This window comes from Homo sapiens, chromosome 16 (assembly GCF_000001405.40).
Source record: "Homo sapiens chromosome 16, GRCh38.p14 Primary Assembly".
Taxonomy (NCBI): domain Eukaryota; kingdom Metazoa; phylum Chordata; class Mammalia; order Primates; family Hominidae; genus Homo; species Homo sapiens.
The window spans coordinates 11,809,277-11,829,285 of record NC_000016.10 but is presented as its reverse complement, the minus strand read 5'-3'; the positions used below and the strand labels follow the sequence as shown (position 1 = coordinate 11,829,285).

At 47.2% G+C, this 20,009-nt stretch overlaps 1 long non-coding RNA gene across 5 annotated transcripts, besides 2 other annotated features; it reads left to right on the top strand.

Annotated features, from left to right (window-relative positions):
• Nucleotides 1–453: 453 nt before the first annotated feature.
• BCAR4 (breast cancer anti-estrogen resistance 4) lies at nucleotides 454–9,456 on the top strand. 5 transcript variants are annotated; one of them, NR_024049.1, is made up of 4 exons: nucleotides 454–964; nucleotides 4,547–4,759; nucleotides 7,531–7,652; nucleotides 8,989–9,456. It is a non-coding gene; the product is annotated as a breast cancer anti-estrogen resistance 4 (long non-coding RNA). The 5 variants fall into 5 exon arrangements; NR_131222.1 differs by lacking the exon at nucleotides 4,547–4,759 and having other exon boundaries at nucleotides 454–587; nucleotides 7,531–7,648; NR_024050.1 differs by lacking the exons at nucleotides 4,547–4,759; nucleotides 7,531–7,652 and having other exon boundaries at nucleotides 454–587; nucleotides 895–964.
• Nucleotides 6,638–7,138: an enhancer, noted in NCBI's record as "H3K4me1 hESC enhancer chr16:11916005-11916505 (GRCh37/hg19 assembly coordinates)". NCBI's record gives its function as "activates a minimal SCP1, AML or CMV promoter by ChIP-STARR-seq in primed H9 embryonic stem cells {active_cell/tissue: H9 hESC(primed)}" and the evidence as "EXISTENCE:reporter gene assay evidence [ECO:0000049][PMID:30033119]".
• Nucleotides 7,139–7,639: an enhancer, noted in NCBI's record as "H3K4me1 hESC enhancer chr16:11915504-11916004 (GRCh37/hg19 assembly coordinates)". NCBI's record gives its function as "activates a minimal SCP1, AML or CMV promoter by ChIP-STARR-seq in primed H9 embryonic stem cells {active_cell/tissue: H9 hESC(primed)}" and the evidence as "EXISTENCE:reporter gene assay evidence [ECO:0000049][PMID:30033119]".
• Nucleotides 9,457–20,009: the final 10,553 nt, after the last annotated feature.

The following is a 20,009-nucleotide window of genomic DNA, read 5'->3' as shown; positions in this document are numbered from 1 at the left end:
TACAGGCGCCCACCACCATGACCGGATAATTTTTTGTATTTTTAGTAGAGCTGGGGTTTCACCGTGTTAGCCAGGATGGTCTCGATCTCCTGACCTTGTGATCCACCCGCCTCGGCCTCCCGAAGTGCTGGGATTACAGGCGTGAGCCACCGCGCCCGGCTCCTGTGCTTATTTTTCTCCCTTTGTTTCCTTCTGGTCTATATTTTCCAAGATTCCTTCAATGATATGATTTTGTAGTGAACAAATGCCAGCCCTCCTTCAACTCATCCCTCTGAAATGTCTATTATTGAGAGCATGATAAAAATATTTAAAGATTTCTGGTGGGGGCAGGTGGTATTTCTGAAAAATGCACACTCCTGGTCCTGCTGCAGACCTGCTTAACTGGAATTACTGTATACATGCGGGACTTAGGAATCTGTGTTTTGACCAAGAGGCCAGGTGATTCTTCTGCTCAGTTAGTGCTGGGAAACAGTGCTAAGAAGGATACAGTGGCTAGAAGTCGTCCTGTCGTCCTGCCTCACAGTAACATCGTTACCGAATTCTCAGCAGGTGAACCAAATGAAATGGTCAACTGAAAGCCAACCAGGGTAAAACAGATCTTTTATTTCTTGTTGTTGTTATTATTATTTTTTTTTATGTGGGGACATTCAAGTGAACTGCTATATGCATTTGCCCCCAGTCTCTCCTTGTGAGAAGTGAATTTCTTCAACGTTTATAGAACTGAGGTATTACATTATTGGATGAATTAAGAAAACAATCTAACCTGATGTGTGAAAATTTCTGCTTGTGAGAATCCGTGTTATTTCAATTATCCAATCAAGAGCCTAATTCGTATAAAAGAAACACAGCAGCTTGTTGCTCATCTTTTTATCTAAGGACGGTTTGTCTTGACAGAGGGTGTCTGGCTGTTTTGGGGAAACTATTCCTGACCTTATTTTGACTAAAAAGTTGCCTGCTGTACCAGGTGAGAGAAGCTATCATTTCTTTTATAAAACTTTTAGCTTGCTTTTTGTTAAGTGTGTTTGAAAGTCACTTAAAAGACTGACTTAAATATGAATATTGTTAGTCGGGCTGTATATTTTTTTTATATTAAGTTATGATTTATATTTCTTCAGAGATCTAGTCTCTTGTTGATCTCCCTTGACTATTTTTCTGTTAGGCTGTTGGATTTCTCTTTTTTTCTTTCTTTTTATTTTCTTTTTCTTTTTTTTTTTTTTTTTGAGACAGGGTCTCTGTTGCTCAGGCTGAAGTGCAGTGGCATAATCTCAGCTGACTGCCTCCTGAGTAGCTGGGATTACAGGCATGTGCCACCATGCTCTGCTAATTTTTGTATTTTTATTGGAGACGGGATTTCACCATGTTGGCCAGCCTGGTTTTGAACTCTTGACCTCAAGTGATCTACCCTCCTTGGCCTCCCAAAGTGTTAGCATTACAGACGTGAGCTATTGTGCTTGGCTTTTAAAAAATTTTTAGACTTTTAGTAGAGACAGGGGTCTCACTAAGTTGCCCAGGCTGATCTCTTTTTTTTTTTTTTTTTTTTTTGAGACAGAGTCTCACTCTGTCGCCCAGGCTGGAGTGCAGTGGTAGGATCTCGGCTCACTGCAAGCTCCGCCTCCCGGGTTCACGCCATTCTCCTGCCTCAGCCTCCCGAGTAGCTGGGACTACAGGTGCCTGCCACCACGCCCAGCTAATTTTTTGTATTTTTAGTAGAGACGGGGTTTCACCCTGTTAGCCAGGATGGTCTCGATCTCCTGACCTTGTGATCCGCCCGCCTCGGCCTCCCAAAATGCGGGGGTTATAGGTGTAAGCTACTGTGCCTGGCCCTAAACTGGTTCTTGAAAAAGGTGGCAGATCAATACGCCCCTGCAAAGCAGGGGGAAAAAACAAACATTTGCTATTTAATAACCTAGGCAGGAAAGATAAGCTAAAAAAAATCAAAGAGAATTATTCCTATTTCATACCAACATTCTCTTTTTTTTTTTTTTTGAGACGGAGTCTCACTCTGTCGCCCAGGCTGGAGTGCAGTGGCGCGATCTCAGCTCACTGCAAGCTCCGCCTCCCGGGTTCACGCCATTCTCCTGCCTCAGCCTCCCGACTAGCTGGGATTACAGGCGCCCGCCACCACCCCAGGCTAATTTTTTTGTATTTTTACTAGAGACGGAGTTTCACCGTGTTAGCCAGGATGGTCTCGATCTCCTGACCTCGTGATCCGCCCGCCTCAGCCTCCCAAAGTGCTGGGATTACAGGCGTGAGCCACCGCGCCCGGCCCATACAACATTCTTAAGTCTAGATAATGGGAACTAATAAGTTCCCAAAACTGAATGAAGAGACAAAAACCTAAAAACTGGAAGAGAAAAGACAGTGAGATTTCACTTAATATTGTGGGCCAGGTGCGCTGGCTCACATCTATAGTCCTAGCACTTTGGACGGCTGATGTGGGTGGATCCCCTGAGCTCAGACCAGCCTGGGTAACGTGGCAAACCCCGTGTGTACTAAAAATACAAAAATTAGCTGGGCAAGGTGGCTTAGTCTCAGTCACTCTGGAGGCTGAGGGAGGAGGATCACTTGAGTGTGGAAGGCGGAGGTTGCAGTGGGCCGAGACCACGCCAATGCACTGCCAGCCTGGATAACAGAGCAAGCAAGATCCTATCTCGAAAAATAAAATAATATCATGCATACAAATCTTGAGTTGTTGCCATTATAATTCAAAGATTCCCAATTCATTCTGCGAAAGTAATTTTTTCGGTACTCAAACCTAGTAGTTTTCTTCGCCAGAAAAACTCCTATCACCTGGTCTTAAGATAAATGTAAGATACCACATACTGCTTAACCAGGATAATAACAGCTTAGGAGAGCTTATCTGAGGAATGTAAGGATGGCTAAACATTAGGGAATCAGAAACAAAAATTGTTAGTAAACTAAAGAACACAGCATAGTTAGCCAGAAATGCTAAGAAAATTCAGCTACAAAACTTACCAGCAATTTAGGGTTAAAACATCATATGAAATGGCAAATTAATAAAATGGTGCCATTAACGGTGAGTTCAAACCTAAAAGGCCAATATTTGTCATTGTTTTCATTAGTGTTTTTTTTGTTCCTACATACTGTAAAATTTTGTGACAAATTCTGTTCCACCTAGTATTTAACCTGACACCTAAAATGTTTAGTGTATACAGTTGCAAAGACATAATTACTTGCCATTGTGTAAATAGTGATCTTTGAAACTAAAACTATTCCATTCTCAAATACATCTGTTGGACTCTAAATACCTAAGGGAGTTGATCGTCACCATCACCCACTTAAAGAAAACACCTGGGCCACATGTGGTGGCTCACACCTGTAATCCCAGCAGTTTAGGAGGCCGAGGCAGGAGGATTGCCTGACCCTAGAAGTTTGAGACCAGCTTGGGCAACAAGGTGAAACCCCGTCTCTACAAAAACATACAAAAAAAATAAGCCATGGGTGGTGGCAGGCGCCTGTAGTCCCAGCTACGTGGGAGGCTGAGGTGGGAGGATCACTTGAGTCTGGGAGGCAGCAGTTGCAGTGAGCTGACATTGCGCCACTGCACTCCAGCCTGGGGAACAGAGCAAGACCCTGTCTCAAAAACAAAACAAAACAAAAAAACCGGTTGGGCGCGGTGGCTCACGCCTGAAATCTCAGCACTTTGGAAGGCCGAGGCGGGCAGATCACGAGGTCAAGAGATCAAGACCATCCTGGCCAACATGGTGAAACCCTGTCTCTATTAAAAATACAAAAGTTACCCAGGCGTGGTGGCACATGCCTGTAGTCCCAGCTACTCGGGAGGTTGAGGCAGGAGAATCACTTGAACCCAGGAGGTAGAGATTGCAGTGAGCTGAGATCACACCACTGCACTCCAGACTGGCGACAGAGTGAGACTCCGTCCCAAAAAAAAAGAAAAAAAGCAAGGTTTTACCATTTTTTCTCTTTGAATTTTTTTTCACTCCAGTTGTCCACATGATTTTATATTAATGTAGTATTATTTTATTTTTTTTGAGACAGAGTTTTACTCTTGTTGCCCAAGCTGGAATGCAGCGGTGTGATCTCGGCTCACTGTAACTTCTGCCTCCAGTGTTCAAGCGATTCTCCTGCCTCAGCCTCCTGAGTAGCTGGGATTACAGGCATGCGCCACCATGCCTGGCTATTTTTATTTTTGTATTTTTAGTAGAAATGGGGTTTCACCATGTTGGACAGGATGGTCTCGAACTCCTCGCCTCAGGTGATCCGCCCACCTCGGCCTCCCAAAGTGCTGGGATTACAGGCATGAGCCACCACGCCCGGCCATTAATGTATTATCTTTATGCTTAGCTTTCATTCAGTATTCATTTACTGCTTGAAAAACCTAAGACTTCATACTATGTTGGGCAGAGTTACTCTTACCACTTATCTCTTCAGGAAAGATGATTGAATAGTAGATGTTCTCAGGTTTTCACTCCGTAAATGACTTTTGCCAGTGCATTAAGAAAAACAATTGATTTGGAAGTTGGCTATTAATCCAATTAATTAGAAGCCAAGCCTTTTTCCACAGGGCCTGTGATGTGTTGATAAAATGCCACACAACCATTTCTCAGTGAAAAGCCCAACCGGGACTTGAGTTATGTTGGTGGCTATGGAGTTCTGCAATCCACAATTGATGTTCTCTAATAACCAGTGACCTTGAGTGAACTGTCCCCAAGGCAAGAGCAACCACAGCTGCGGGGAGCGTTTGGCAATCACTATCCCCACCCAAGCTTCTCCCTTGGTAAACTTTGTACCTACTGGGTCCTCATGCTGGTGGAAAAGAAAATACATTTCCTTCTCGTGACTGTCCCCTCTCCTTCAAGTCAATGTTCTTAATCTTTGACCTTGGATTTCATCACTTGTCACTTGTTTTTGTTTGCTTCTTCGGGATTTTTTTTTTTTTGAGATAGAGTCTTGCCATGTTGCCCAGGCTGGAGTGCAGTGGTGTGATCTCAGCTCACTGCAACCTCTGCCTCTGGGGTTCAAGAGATTGTCCTGCCTCAAGCCTTCTGAGTAGCTGCAACTACAGATGTGGGCCATCATGCCTGGCTAATTTTTGTTTTTGTTGTTGTTGTTGTTTGTTTTTTTGAGATGGAGTCTCACTCTGTCACCCAGGCTGGAGTGCAATGGCGTGATCTTGGCTCACTGCAACCTCCGCTTCCTGGGTTCAAGTGATTTTGCTGCCTCCGCCTCCTGAGTAGCTGGGATTACAGGTGTGCGCCACCACACCCAGCTAATTTTTATATTTTTAGTAGCGACGGGGTTTCACTATGTTGGCCAGGCTGGTCTCAAACTCCTGACCTCAAGTAATCTGCCCGCCTCAGCCTCCCAAAGGGCTGAGATGACAGGCGTGAGCCAATGCACCTGGCCTAATTTTTGTATTTTTAGTAGAGAATGGATTTCACCATGTTGGCCAAGCTGGTCTCAAACTCCTGACCTCAAGTGATCCTCCTGCCTCGGCCTCCCAAAGTGCTGGGGTTGCAAGCATGAGTCACTATGCCTGGCCTTGAATTTCATCACTTGTACCTAAAGTATAAAAACATAGATTTACCATCAAATAGTAATGGTGCTTCAGGAAGAAGTTAAGCCTACTTCAAGTACCTTTGGCCTTGTACTTCAGTTTCTTCTTCTTCTTCTGTTTTTGAGACAGAGTTTTGCTCTTGTTGCCCAAGCTGGAGTACAATGGTGCAATCTTGGCTCACCACAACCTCTGCCTCCCGGGTTCAAGCGATTCTCCTGCCTCAGCCTCCCAAGTAGCTGGGATTACAGGCATGTGCCGCCACGCCCAGCTAATTTTGTATTTTTAGTAGAAATGGGGTTTCTCAATGTTGGTCAGGCTGGTCTTGAACTCCCGACCTCAGGTGATCCACCTGTCTTGGCCTCCCAAAGTGCTGGGATTACAGGCATGAGCCACTGCACCCAGCCATTTTCTTCTTTTTATTATTTTTATTTTTTTTTTGAGACGAAGTCTCATTCTTGTCACCCAGGCTGGAGTGCAATGGTGCGATCTTGGCTCACTGCAATCTCTGCCTCCCGGGTTGAAGTGATTCTCCTGCCTCAGCCTCCTGAGTAGCTGGGATTACAGGCTTCTGCTACCACACCCAGCTAATTTTAGTATTTTTTGTAGAGACAGGGTTTCATCACGTTGGCCAGACTGGTCTGGAACCCCTGACCTCAGGGAATCCACTTGCCTTGGCCTCCCAAAGTGCTGGGATTACAGGCATGAGCCACTGTGCCCAGCCTTCTTTTTTTAGAATTGAGATGGGGCCTTTCTATCTCCCAGGCTGGAGTGCAGTGGCACAATCAAGGCTTACTGAAGCCTCAGCTCCCAGGGTATCTGGTACTACAGGCACGTGCCACCATGCGTGGCTAATTTTTTGTATTTTATTTAATTTATTTATTTATTTTTTGTAGAGACAGGGTTTTGCCACGTTCCCCAGGCTAGTCTTGAACTCCTGGGCTCAAGCGATCCACCTGCCTCGGCCTCCCAAGCGTGAGGATTCATTTTCAGAAGCAGTCTTTTTGGATGTCTTGAGATAGCTTCATGAAATTTCACTTGTAAACCAGAAGTCTCAGAAGGTCTCAATCACTGTAGAGGTTTATTTTAGCTAACATTGAGGACATGCCCAGGAAATAGACAGAAGCCACAAGAGGATCTGGAGTCAGCACTTTTTCCAAAGAGGATTTAAAGGGCTTCAATATTTAAAGGGAAAAAGTGGGCAGGAGGGGAGAGGTGAAAAGAAAAAATGGAGAAGGATAGGGTAGCATTGTAATGAGGCTTTCAGCACTCACTCAATCCACGTGTTGCATGTGAAAAGGAAAGAGAGGAAGAACAATCAAGTCTTTCTCTTGAACTTGGGCAATCTGTACTTGACCTGTAGATAAACATAGAAATCAAATATGCGGCCGGGTGCAGTGGCTCACGCCTGTAATCCCAGCACTTTGGGAGGCCGAGGCGGGTGGATCACGAGGTCAGGAGATCGAGACAATCCAGGCCAACGTGGTGAAACCTGTCTCTACTAAAAATACAAAAAATTCGCCAGACGGGGTGGCAGGCGCCTGTAATCCCAGCTACTTGGGAGGCTGAGCCAGGAGAAATGCTTGAACCCGGGAGGCAGAGGTCGCGGTGAGCCGAGATTGCACCATTGCACTCCGGCCTGGGCAAAAAGAGCGAAACTCCGTCTCAAAAAAAAAAAAAAAAAAAATCAAATACGCATGGGTCTCAGCGTGGGTGGGTCAGCAATTTATAGTCTCTTCTTGTCTCCTACCTATGAAGATAAGCTATTAATTTACATTGTCAGGGTAAGAAAGTCCCCGTTGTGAGGCGTGTGGCCTTCTATCTTATAGCTATCTGTTTAGGAACAAAACGAAAGGCAGATTTTGTTGTGTGTGACTCGATTTCCAAGCTTAACTTTTCCCCTAGGCATAGTGAGTTTGGGGCTGAGATTTTGTTTTCTTTTCACACTGTAAAGATGTATCTTTTTATTTCCTTTTTTAAAAAATTTGAAACAGGGTCTTGTCCTGTCACTCTGGCTGGAATACAATGGCGTAATCATAGCTCACTGCGGCCTCCATCTCCTGGGTTCAAGTGATTCTCCTGCTTCAGCTTCCCAAGTATCTGGGACTACAGGCATGTACTACCAGAACTGGATAAATTTTTTATTTTTATTTTTTATTATTATTTTTTTTGAGACGGAATATCGCTCTGTCGCCCAGGCTGGAGTGCAGTGGTGCAATCTCGGCTCACTGCAAGCTCCGTCTCCCAGGTTCACGCCATTCTCCTGCCTCAGCCTCCCAAGTAGCTGGGACTAAAGGCGCCCGCTACCATGCTTGGCTAATTTTTATGTATTTTTAGTAGAGATGGAGTTTCACCACGTTAGCCAGGATGGTCTCGATCTCCTGACCTTGTGATCTGCCCTCCTCGGCCTCCCAAAGTGCTGGGATTACAGACGTGAGCCACTGTGCCCGGCTATTTTCTTAAAATTTTTAGTAGAGGCAGGTTCTCACTATGTTGCCCAAGCTGGTCTTGAACTTCCAAGCTGAAGCAGTCCTCCCATCTTGGCCTCCAAAAATGTTGGGATTACCAGCATTTTTGTGAGTGAGCCACCGCACCCAGCCAAAAGATGTATTTTAAACCATTAAGAACTCTGACCTCCTGAGAGTCTCCTCAGAGGGGAATTTGGGTGCCTCTTAGAGGCCAGCCCTTTAAATTACCCTCAGGATATGAGACAGGGTGAAGGGAGTTCTGACTGAAAATGCATAGTAGGCCCAAGGTGGTGCTTATGTCTGTAAACCCAGCATTTGGGGAGGCCAAGGTGGGCATATCACTTGAGGTGAGGAGTTCGAGACCAGCCTGGCCAACGTGATGAAACCCCGTCTCTATTAAAAATACGAAAATTAGCCAGCCATGGTGGCGGGCACCTGTAATCCCAGCTACTCGGGAGGCTGAGGCAGGCGAACTGCTTGAACCCGGGAGGTGGAGGTTGCAGTGAGATAAGATCGCACCACTGCACTCCAGCCTGGGCGACAGAGTGAGACTCTGTCTCATTTAAAAAAAAAAAGAAAAAGGGCCGGGCACGGTGGCTCATGCCTGTACTCCCAGCACTTTGGGAGGCCGAGGCAGGCAGATCATGAGGTCAAGAGATTGAGACCATCCTGGTCAACATGGTGAAACCCCGTCTCTACTAAAAATACAACAATTAGCTGGGTGTGGTGGCGCACGCCTGTAGTCCCAGCTACTAGGGAGTCTGAGGCGGGAGCATCATTTGAACCCGGGAGGCAGAGCTTGAAGTGAGCCAAGATCGCGCCACCGCACTCCAGCCTGGCAACAGAGTGAGACTCCATCTTAAAAAAAAAAGAAAAAGAAAAAGAATGCATAGTAGATGCAATTCACAGAAAAGAAGAAAAGATTCTATTTACACTTTTTGTATTTGAGCTTTCATAGACTTTTTCTTCCCTTAACCACTGCAGCAAAAAATCACCATGTACCAACCTATCCAAACTTATCCATGGATGAATCTATCCAGAAGACGGGAGTTCCGATGCTTGTCTTGCTCTGAATGTCTGCTTGTCACCTGCTTAGGGTTATCGACTGTGATTCTGGGACTCATTGTTGTTCTACAGGACCCCTCTGACTCTGTGGTTTTCTCTACTGGATTAACAATGATAGCCATAGGTGCTTTTTTTGTTGTCCTCACTGGAGTGACAGCCCTGTGTACGGTTACAGTCGACGAGAACTTGCAGAAAACCACGAGGCTAAGACTAGGAGTGATACGAAAAAGCGGAAGTCTCCAAGGAACTACAGAGCCTTCCATGACTCACTCAATAATCGCTAGCACCTCGCTGTAGTTGTACATTGAACCCTGGCATCTTCGTCTTTGGAACTAAGTCTCCTGAGCATTGTTTTTAAATAGAAATAAAATCTGGCTTTTAAAAAAACTCTTGTAATCCCAGCAGTTTGGGAGGCCAAGGTGGGTGGATCACAAGGTCAGGAGTTCGAGACCAGCCTGGCCAACATGGTGAAACCCCGTCTCTACTAAAAATGGAAAAATTAGCCAGGTGTGGTGGCAGCCGCCTGTAATTCCAGCTACTCTGGAGGCTGAGGCAGGAGAATCGCTTGAACCTGGGAGGCGGAGGTTGCAGTGAGCCGAGATTGTGCCACTGCACTCCAGCCTGGGCGACAGGGTGAGACTGTCTCAAAAAAAAAACCCTTCTAATTTTATAATGTTCTTATTCCCTAAAACATAAGATTCTGTCTACAGAAGGACCTTCAGGTCATAACGATGCCTGTCAAATTCATGCCATCTGGCCGGGCACAGTGTCACTCACCTGTAATCCCAGCACTGTGGGAGGCCAAGGTGGGTGGATCGCTTGAGCCCAGGAGTTTGAAGCCAGTATGGGCAACATGGTGAAATCCTGTCTCTAAAAAAAACAAAATACAAAAATTAGCCTGGGCATAGTGGTGGATGTCTATAGTTCCAGCTACTTGGGAGGCTCAGGCAAGAGAATCGCTTGAGCCCAGGAGGCGGAGGTTGCAGTGAGCCGAGGTTGTGCCACTGCACTCCAGCCTGGATGACACAATGAGACTGTCTTCCCCTCCCACTCAACAAAAAATTACATGTCGTTGCCGGGCGCGGTGGCTCACGCCGTAATCCCAGCACTTTGGGAGGCCGTGGCAGACAGATCACGAGGGCAGGAGATCGAGACCATCCTGGCTAACACAGTGAAACCCTGTCTCTGCTAAAAATACAAAAAATTAGCCAGGTGTGGTTGCAGGCGCCTGTAGTCCCAGCTACTCTGGAGGCTGAGGCAGGAGAATGGCCTGAACCTGGGAGGCAGAGCTTGCAGTGAGCCAAGATCACGCCACTGCACTCCAGCCTGGGCGACAGATTGAGACTCCGTCTCAAAAAAAAAAAAAAAATCCAAGTCGGCCGAGTGCGGTGACTCATGCCTGTAATCCCAGCATTTTGGGAGGTTGAGGTGGCTGGATCACTTGAGGCCAAGAGTTCAAGACCAGTCTGAGCAATATGGTGAAACCTCATCTCTACTGAAAATACAAAAACTAGCCAGGCGTGGTGGCATGCACCTGTAGTCTCAGCTACTTGGGAGGCTGAGGTGCAATAATTGCTTGAACCTGGGATGCAGAGGATGCTGTGAGCCAAGATTTCTGAATCAGGTCTTGGAAAACAACCTGTCTTTCTCCTGCCATTTTTCTCCCCAAGGCAGGAATCTTCTCACCTTTCTTCTTGCAGTTGGCTATAAAGTTCTGTGGCCAGGCACAGTGGCTCACGCCTGTAATCCCAGCACTTTGGGAGGCCGAGGTGGGTGGATCACGAGGTCAAGACCCAACCTGGTCAATATGATGAAACCCCGTTTCTACTAAAAATACAAAAATTAGCTGGGCATGGTGGCGCGTACCTGTAGTCCCAGCTACTCAGGAGGCTGAGGCTTGAAGCCAGGAGGAGGAGGTTACAGCGAGCAGAAATCTCACCACTGCACTCCAGCCTGGCGACAGAGCGAGACTCCGTCTCCACAAAAAAAAAAAAAAGTAAATTCGGTGACGTACCTTGTCTGACAGTAGGTGACAATACTCCCATTTCAGAAGGGGTCTACCCCATACCCTGGAAGAAGGAATGTCGTCTAACCTACTTTGATTGCAGGTCACAATACCCCCTACTTCAGAGGAGATCCTGCCATATACCCTGGAAGAAGGGGCCACAGAAAGCATGAAGAATTGGAGCCTTGCTCTGTTTCTCCACTTCGTCTGTTAGATCATGGCCTTTGTGTCCAGTCATGTTTCTGTCTGGTTGTTCGTCACAACTATCCAGTGCCTAAGAGCACAGGGTTCAGGGAACTTCCAGAGAGCTGAACACGGGGAGGTTCCTGGAGGGTGGCTGACCCAAGAAGGTCAGGGAAGCTCTGAGCCCCTTTCCCCACACCTCACCCTATGCATCTCTTCATCTGTATCCTTGGTAACATCTTTTTTATTTTTTTTAATTTTTTTTAGACAGTCTTGCTCTGTCGCCCAGGCTGGAGTGCAGTGGTGTAATCTCGGCTCACTGCAACCTCTGCTTCCTAGGTTCAAGTGATTGTCCTGACTCAACCTCCCAAGTAGCTGGGATTACTGTGCTATCACGCCCGGCTGTATTTTTTGTATTTAATACAAAAAACACAAAATTTTTGTATTTTTTAATAGAGACAGAATTTCTCCATGTTAGCTAGGCTGGTCTTGAACTCCTGATCTCAAGTGATCTGCCCACCTCAGCCTCCCAAAGTGCTGGGATTACAGGTGCCCACCACCATGCCTGGCTACTTTTTGGATTTTTAGTAGAGAAGGGGTTTCACCATGTTGGCCAGGCTGGTCTTGACGTCCTGACCTCAAGTGATCCACCTGCCTTGGCCTCCCAAAGTGTGAGCCGATGCCATCCTTGTGTGTGTGTGTGTGTGTGTGTGTGTGTGTCGTTTTTTTGTTTTGTTTTGTTTTGTTTTTTGAGACAGAGTCTCACTCTGTAGCCCAGGCTGGAGTGCAGTGGTGCAATCTCAGCTTACTTCAGGCTCTGCCTCTTGGGTTCAAGGGATTCTCTTGCCTCAGCCTCCTGAGTAGCTGGGATTACAGGTGTGAGCCCCCACACCAGGCTAATGTTTGGATTTGTAGTAGAGACAAGGTTTTGCCTTGTTGTCCAGGCTGGTCTCAAACTCCTGACCTCAGGTAATCTGCCTGCCTTTGCCTCCCAAAGTGCTGGGATTACAGGCGTGAGCCGTCATCTCTTGCCCGGTAACATCCTTTATAATAAACCAGTAAATGTGTTTCCCTGGGTTCTCTAAGCTGCATTAGCAATTAAATGAACCCAAAGAGAGGGTTGTGGGAACACCAAGTTGAAACAAGTCAGAAGTTCTGGAGGCTCAGATTTGTGACTGGTGGGAAGGGAGAGGGCTGCTTGGTGGGAGTGAGCCCTCAGTTGTGGGGCCTGATGCTGTATCAGTGAGGTAGATACTGTCAGAATTGAGGCTGGGCGTGGTGCCTCATGCCTGTAATCCCAGCACTTTGGGAGGCCAAGGCAGGTAGATTGCTTGAGTTCAGGAGTTCGAGACTAGCCTGGTTAACATGGCAAAAGCCTGTCTCTATAAAAAATACAAAAACAGGCCAGGTGCTGTGGCTCACGCCTGTAATCCAGCACTTTGGGAGGCCGAGGCGGGCAGATCACTTGCGCTCAGGAGTTTCAGACCAGCCTGGCCAACATGGTGAAACCCTGTCTCTACTAAAAATACAAAAATTATCAAAGCATGGCGGTGTGTCCCTGTAGTCCCAGCTACTCAGAAGGCAGAGGCAAGAAAATAGCTTGAACCTGGGATGTGGAGGCTGCAGTGAACCTAGACCGCGCCATTGCACTCCAGCCTGGGTGACAGAACAAGACTCCGTCTCAAAAAAAGAAAAACAAAACAAAACAAACAAAAACAGCCAGGCATGATAGCACTTGCCTGTGGTCCAGCTACTTGGAAAGCTGAGGTGGGTGGATCACTTTGAGTCTGAGAGGTTGAGATTGAGCCACTGCACTCCAGCCTGTGCAACAGAGCTAGACCTTGTTTAAAAGGAAAAAAAAAAATGCCGGGTGCAGTGGCTCATGCCTGTAATCCCAGAACTTTGGGAGGCCAAGGAGGGTGGATCACGTGAGGTCAGAAGTTCAAGACCAGCCTGGACAACATGGTGAAACCCTGTCTCTACTAAAAATACAACAATTACCCGGGCATGGTAGCAGGCACCTGTAATCCCAGCTATTCAGGAGGCTGAGGCAGGAGAATCACTTCAACCCGGGAGGCGGATGTTGCAGTGAGCCGAGATCACACCATGGCACTCCAGCCTGGGCTACAGAGACTCTGTGTCCCCCCAACCAAAAAAAAAAAAAAAAGTCGGAGGACACCCAGCAGATGTCTGATGTAGAATTGATTGGTTGCTTGGTGTGTGGGGAGAAATCCCTACACATTTGGTTACAGAAGTCTTCTGTGTCATTGTTGTCGTGGTGTTTTTCCCTTCAGTGACCACGCTGTCCAAAGTGATCTACAGATTCATTTCAATCCCTATCAAAATACCAATGACATTTTCAGAGATAGAAAAAAAAATCCTAAAATTCATGTGGAACCAAAGTGAGCCCAAATATCCAAAGTAATCCTGAGCAAAAGAAGAAAGCTAGGCCGGGCACGGTGGCTCACGCCTGTAATCCCAACACTTTGGGAGGCTGAGGCGAGTGGATCGCCTGAGGTCAGGGCTTTGAGACCAGTCTGGCCAACATGACGAAACCCCGTCTCTACTAAAAATACTAAAATTAGCTGGGCGTGGTGGCAGGAGCCTGTAATCCCAGCTATTCGGGAGGCTGAGGCAGGAGAATCACTTGAACCTGGGAGGCAGAGGTTGCAATGAGCCAAGGTCGCACCATTGCACTCCAGCCTGGATGACAAGAACGAGACTTCGTCTCAAAAAAAAAAAAAAAGAAGAAAATGGCTGGATGCAGCGGCTCATGCCTGTAATCCCAGCACTCTGGAGGGCCGAAGCAGATGGATCACCTGAGGTCAGTAGTTCAAGACCAGCCTGACCAACATTGAGAAACCCCATTTCTACTAAAAATACAAAATTAGCTGGGCGTGGCAGCACATGCCTGTAATCCCAGCTACTTGGGAGACTGAGGCAGGAGAATTGCTTGAATCTGGAAGGCGGAAGTTGTGGTGAGCCGAGATTGCACCATTGCACTCCACCCTGAGCAACAAGAGTGAAACTCTCTCTCTCTCACACACACACACACAGACACACACACACACACACACAAAGCTAGAGGCCTCATGTGGTCACTCACACCAGTAATCCCAGCATTTTGGGAGTCCATGGTGGCTAGATCACTTGAGGTCAGGAGTTCGAGACCTGCCTGGCAAAACCTCATCTCTACAAAAAAAAGTACAAGAAATCAGTTGGGGGCTGGGTGTGGTGGCTCACGCTTGTAATCCCAGCACTTTAGGAGGCCAAGGCCGGTGGATCTCCTGAAGTCAGGGGTTTGAGACCAGCCTGGCCAACATGACAAAACCCTGTCTCTACTAAAAATACAAAAAAAAAATTAGCCAGGTGTGGCATGTCTGTAGTCCCAGATACTCAGGAGGCTGAAGCAGGAGAACTGCTTGAACCTGGGAGGCAGAGATTGCAGCGAGCCGTGATCACGCCACTGCACTCCAGACTCCAGCCTGGGTGACAGAGTGAGACGCTGTCTCAAAAAAAAAAAAAAAATTGGGTGTTGCGTTGTGTCCCTGTAGTTCCATCCACCCAGGAGGCTGAGGTGGGAGGATCATTCGAGCTGTGAGCTGGGAGGTCGAGGCTGCAGTGAGTCATGATGGCACCACTCTAGCCTGGGCAACAAGATTTGTTTCAACAAAACTGTAAGTTGTAGAATGCTGAGATTCATTTTGCTTTATTACAAAACTAAGAATTTCTAGTTGGTTGTTGAATTTAATATTATTTAACCACCAAAGAAAGAGATTCTTGTTGGCCTGATACATCTTCCTTGATATGTCAAAGTGTTTTTGTCACAAAGGAGAGCAGGTATAACTGTGAAAACTGCATTACATCTATAGACTGTACCAATGTCACTTTCTTGGTTTTGATATTTAATACGTTAACATTGGGGGAGGCTGAGAGAAGGGTCCGTGGAACTTCCCTATACATTTCTTGGGACCCTCTGATGAATCTATAATCATCTCAAAATGAAAAGTTAAACACATTTTAGTTTCACAAAACTATGTAAATGAAACAGAATACCCAATGTTGATTTTTGTAATTGTGTTACATTTGAAAGGGAACGCAAAATGTGATTGTAATGATAAGAACTAGCCACAAGTTGTCACTAGTGGTCTATCATAGCCCTCTGAAACTCACAACACCCACCCCCCCGCCACGCCCCCCGCCACCCTCAAAACGAGAATTGTTTTGATGAAGAAAGGACGTGACTTTTTTTTTTTTTTTTTTTTTTTTTTTGAGACAGAGTCTCACTCTGTTGCCCAGGCTGGAGTGCAGTGCCACGATCTCGGCTCACTGCAACCTCTGTCTCCCAGGTTCAAGTGATCCTCCAGCCTCAGCCCCCGAGTAGCTGGATTACTGGTACATGCCACAACGCCCGACTGATTTTTTTATTTTCAGTAGAGATGGGATTTCGCCATGTTGGCCAGGCTGGTCTCAAACTCCTGACCTCAGGTGATCCACCCATCTCGGCCTCCCAAAGTGCTGGGATTACAGGCATGAGGCACCACGCCTGGCTGGATGTGGCTATTTTTAAACTGCCATATTTAACCATTGCTGTTTTTCTGTTTGGAAGCACTGTAAAATCCCAATATCGTATTCTTTTTTTTTTTTTTTTGAGATGGAGTCTTGCTCTGTCACCGAGGCTGGAGTGCAGTGGCGCGATGCAACCTCTGCCACCCAGGTTCAAGTGATTCTCCTGCCTCAGCCTCCCGAGTAGCTGGGATTACAGGTGCCTGCCACTACACCCGGCTAATTTTTGTAGTTTTAGTAGGGACGGAGTTTCACCATGTTGGTCAGGCTGGTCTTGAACTCCTGTCCTCAAGCAATCTACCTGCCTCGGCCTCCTAAAGTGCTGAGATTACAAGCATTAGTCACCGCGCCCTGTTTATCTTATTCTTTTATAGGTGAAAATACAGAAACCATAAGAAAGGGAATAGGGTTTTTTTGTTGTCGTTTTTGAGACAAGAGTCTCCCTCTATCGCCCAGGCTGCGGTGCAGTGGCGCGATCTCGGCTCACTGCAAGCTCCGCCTCCCGGGTACACGCCATTCTCCTGCCTCAGCCTCCCGAGTAGCTGGGACTACAGGTGCTCACCACCACGCCCAGCTGATTTTTTTGTATTTTTTTTAATAGAGGCGGGGTTTCACCGTGTTAGCCAGGATGGTCTCAATCTCCTGACCTCGTGATCCACCAGTCTCAGCCTCCCAAACTGCTGGGATTACAGGTGTGAGCCACTGCACCTGGCCGCAGGAATAGGGTTTAAAGGTGGCAAATTAGACATTCTCTAGAGGAACGTCACTTCTCAAAGTGTGGCTCCTGGAGCAGCAGCACTGGCAGGGCCTAACAATTTGTAAGAAGTGCAAAACCTCAGGCCTCACCCTAAACCTACCAAATTAGATTCTTCTTCTTTTATATTTTTGAGGTGGAGTCGCACTCTGTTACCCAGGCCAGAGTGCAGTGCGGTGATTTTGGCTCAATGCAACCTCTGCCTCCTAGGTTCAAGTGATTCTCCTGCCTCAGCCTCCCAAGTAGCTGGGATTACAGGTGTGGGCCACCACGCCCGGCTAACTTCTGTATTTTTAGTAGATACGGGGTTTTATCATGATGGCCAGGCTGGTCTCGAACTCCTGACCTCAGGTGATCCACCTGCCTTGGCGTAATCCCAGTGCAGGGATTACAGGTGTGAGCCACCATGACCAGCCAGATTCTTCACCTTTTTGGTGTGTGTGTGTATGTGTGTGTGTGAGATGGTGTCTTGCTCTTGTCGCCCAGGCTGGAGCACAATGGCACAATCTCGGCTCACTACAACCTCTGCCTCCCAGGTTCAAGCACTTCTCCTGCCTCAGCCTCCCAAGTAGCTGGGATTACAGGCGCCAGCCACCACGCCCGGCTGATTTTTATATTTTTAGTAGAGATGGGGTTTCACCATGTTGGCCAGGCTGGTCTCGAACTCCTGACGTCAGGTGATCTGTCTGCCTCGGCCTCCCAAAGTACTGGGATTACAGGCATGAGCCACTGCACCCAGCCCTGAATTTGATTCTTCTTCTTTTTTTTTTTTTGAGACGGAGTCTCACTCTGTTGCCCAGGCTGGAGTGCAGTGACGTGATCTCCGCTCACTGCAAACTCCGCCTCCCGGGTTCACGCTGTTCTCCTGCCTCAGCCTCCCGACTAGCTGGGACAACAGGCACCCACCACCACACCCGGCTAATTTTTTGTATTTTTTAGTAGAGATGGGGTTTCACCCTGTTAGCTAGGATGGTCTTGATCTCCTGACCTCGTGATCCACCCGCCTTGGCCTCCCAAAGTGCTGGGATTACAGGAGTGAGCCACTGCGCCTGGCCACCACATGGACATCTTTGAGGATCATCTTTCAATACCCCTTAGTCTCTGTGTTGTAGAACAGCAGCTATCAAGGAGCATTGTTCTTTTTTTTTTTTTTTTTTTTTTTTTTTTTTGATCCAGAGTCTGGCTGTGTTGCCCAGGCTGGAGTGCAGTGGCCAATCTCAGCTCACTGCAACCTCTGCCTCCTGGGTTCAAGTGATTCTCCTCCCTCAGCCTCCCGTGTAGCTGAGGTTACAGGTGCATGCCACTACACCTGGGTAATTTTTGTATTTTTGGTAGAGATGGGGTTACACCGTGTTGGCCAGGTTGGTCTCGAACTCCTGGCCTCAAGTGATCTGCCCACCCTGGCCTCCCAAAGTGCTGGGATTACAGGTGTGAGCCACCGTGCCTGGCCTTAACATAACTGTTTACAACAAAACTGTATAACCTGCCCGTCCTGCCTGGATGATTGATTCAGGATGCTTATGTTGATGCAGGAGAATGGGGTCTGGAGGCAGGGAACCTAAAAACTTCCTAGAACTAGGCCGAGTGCAGTGGCTCACACCTGTAATCCCAGCACGTTGGGATGCCGGGGCCGGTGGATCACCTGAGATCAGGAGTTCGAGGCCACCCTGGCCAACATGGTGAAATTCTATCTCTATTAAAAATAGAAAAATTAGCTTGGTGTGGTGGTGAGCACCTGTAATCCCAGCTACTTGGGAGGCTGAGGCAGGAAAATCGCTTGAACCTGGGAGGCAGAGGTTGCAGTGAGCCAAGATCCTACCACTGCACTACAGCCTGGGCAACAAAGTGAGACTCTGTTTTAATAAATAAACAAACAAACATACATACTTCCTAGAACTCAATAAAAGGGAAAAACCCCAATTAACTGTCTTTTTTTTTTTCTAGATGGAGTTCAGTGGCCTGATCTTGGCTCACTGCAACTTCCGCCTCCCGGGTTCAAGCAATTCTCCTGCCTCAGCCTCCCAAGTAGCTGGGATTACAGGCACCCCCCACCATGCTAGGCTAATTTTTGTATTTTTAGTAGAGACGGAGTTTCACTATGTTGGCCAAAGGTCCGCCCACCTCCGCCTCCGAAAGTGTTTGGATTACAGGCATGAGCCCTCCCCGCTCTCCCACCTCCAGGCCAAAACCCCAACTTTCTATGCCCAACTAAATAACTTTGTAACTTCACTTCAGCTATGGCAGGAAACATCCTCTTCATTTCCATGGGGTGTATGCCAAGTAAATAACTTTGTAACTTCACTTACCCTCTTCATTTACATAGGGCATACCAATGGGAAACCTCTGAAGGGTATTTAAACCCCAGAAAATTCTGTAACCAGCATTGTTGAGTCACTTCCTCTAACCTGCTCCCTACTCTGTGGAGTGTACTTTCGTTTCAATAAATCTGTGCTTTTCTTTCATTGCTTTGTGCGTTTCGTCCAATTCTTTTTTCAAAACGTCAAGAACCTGGACACCCTCCACCCGTAACAGTGTGACACAGTTCTGGCCAGAGTCAGGTCCAGGTTTTACGGAAGTATTTGTAAGAGCAAGGCTTTGTGGGAGTTGCTGAGAAAAGACCACCTAAGCCTGGAACTGCTGGCAGTTACGTTGCCGCAAGGGGTGAGTCTGCCTGAGAATGGAAAGCAGAACTGACAGAAGGAGAGAGAGTGCCTGAGTTTCTGATGATACTGACACGAACCTTACCTGGACAATTAAGTTCTATGAGCTCATAAATTTCCTTTCTTCCCCTTAGCCTTGTTTAATTAGGGTTCACTACTTAACAGTCTCTTACAACTAAAAAATTCTTTTTTTTTTTTTTTTTCAGATGGAGTCTCGCTCTGTTGCCCAGGCTGGAGTACAGTGGTACAATCTCAGCTCACCGCCAACCTCTGCTTTCCGGGTTCCACTGATTCTCCTACCTCAGCCTCCCTGGTAGCTGGGATTACAGGCGCCCACCACCAAGCCTGGCTAATTTTTTGTATTTTTAGTAGAGACAGTGTTTCACCATGTCAGCTAGGCTGGTCTTGAACTCCTGACCTCAGATGATCCACCTGCCTTGGCCTCCCAAAGTGCTGGGATTACAGGCGTGAGCCACCGCACCCAGCCAAAAAATTCTTGACATATGCACTCATAACACCTTGAAAGAAAATACCAGTGAAGTGCTTGAAAGGGAACTGGTCCCCAAAGGGTATTTGAATCACTAAGACTTGGGCAAGATTTGACTGCTTAGATTTGATATATGATATTCTAGTTCTAGGCCCGGGCGCAGTGGCTCACGCCTGTAATCCCAGCACTTTGGGAGGCCGAGACAGGCGGATCACGAGGTCAGATCGAGACCATCCTGGCTAACACAGTGAAACCCCATCTCTACTAAAAATACAAAACATTATC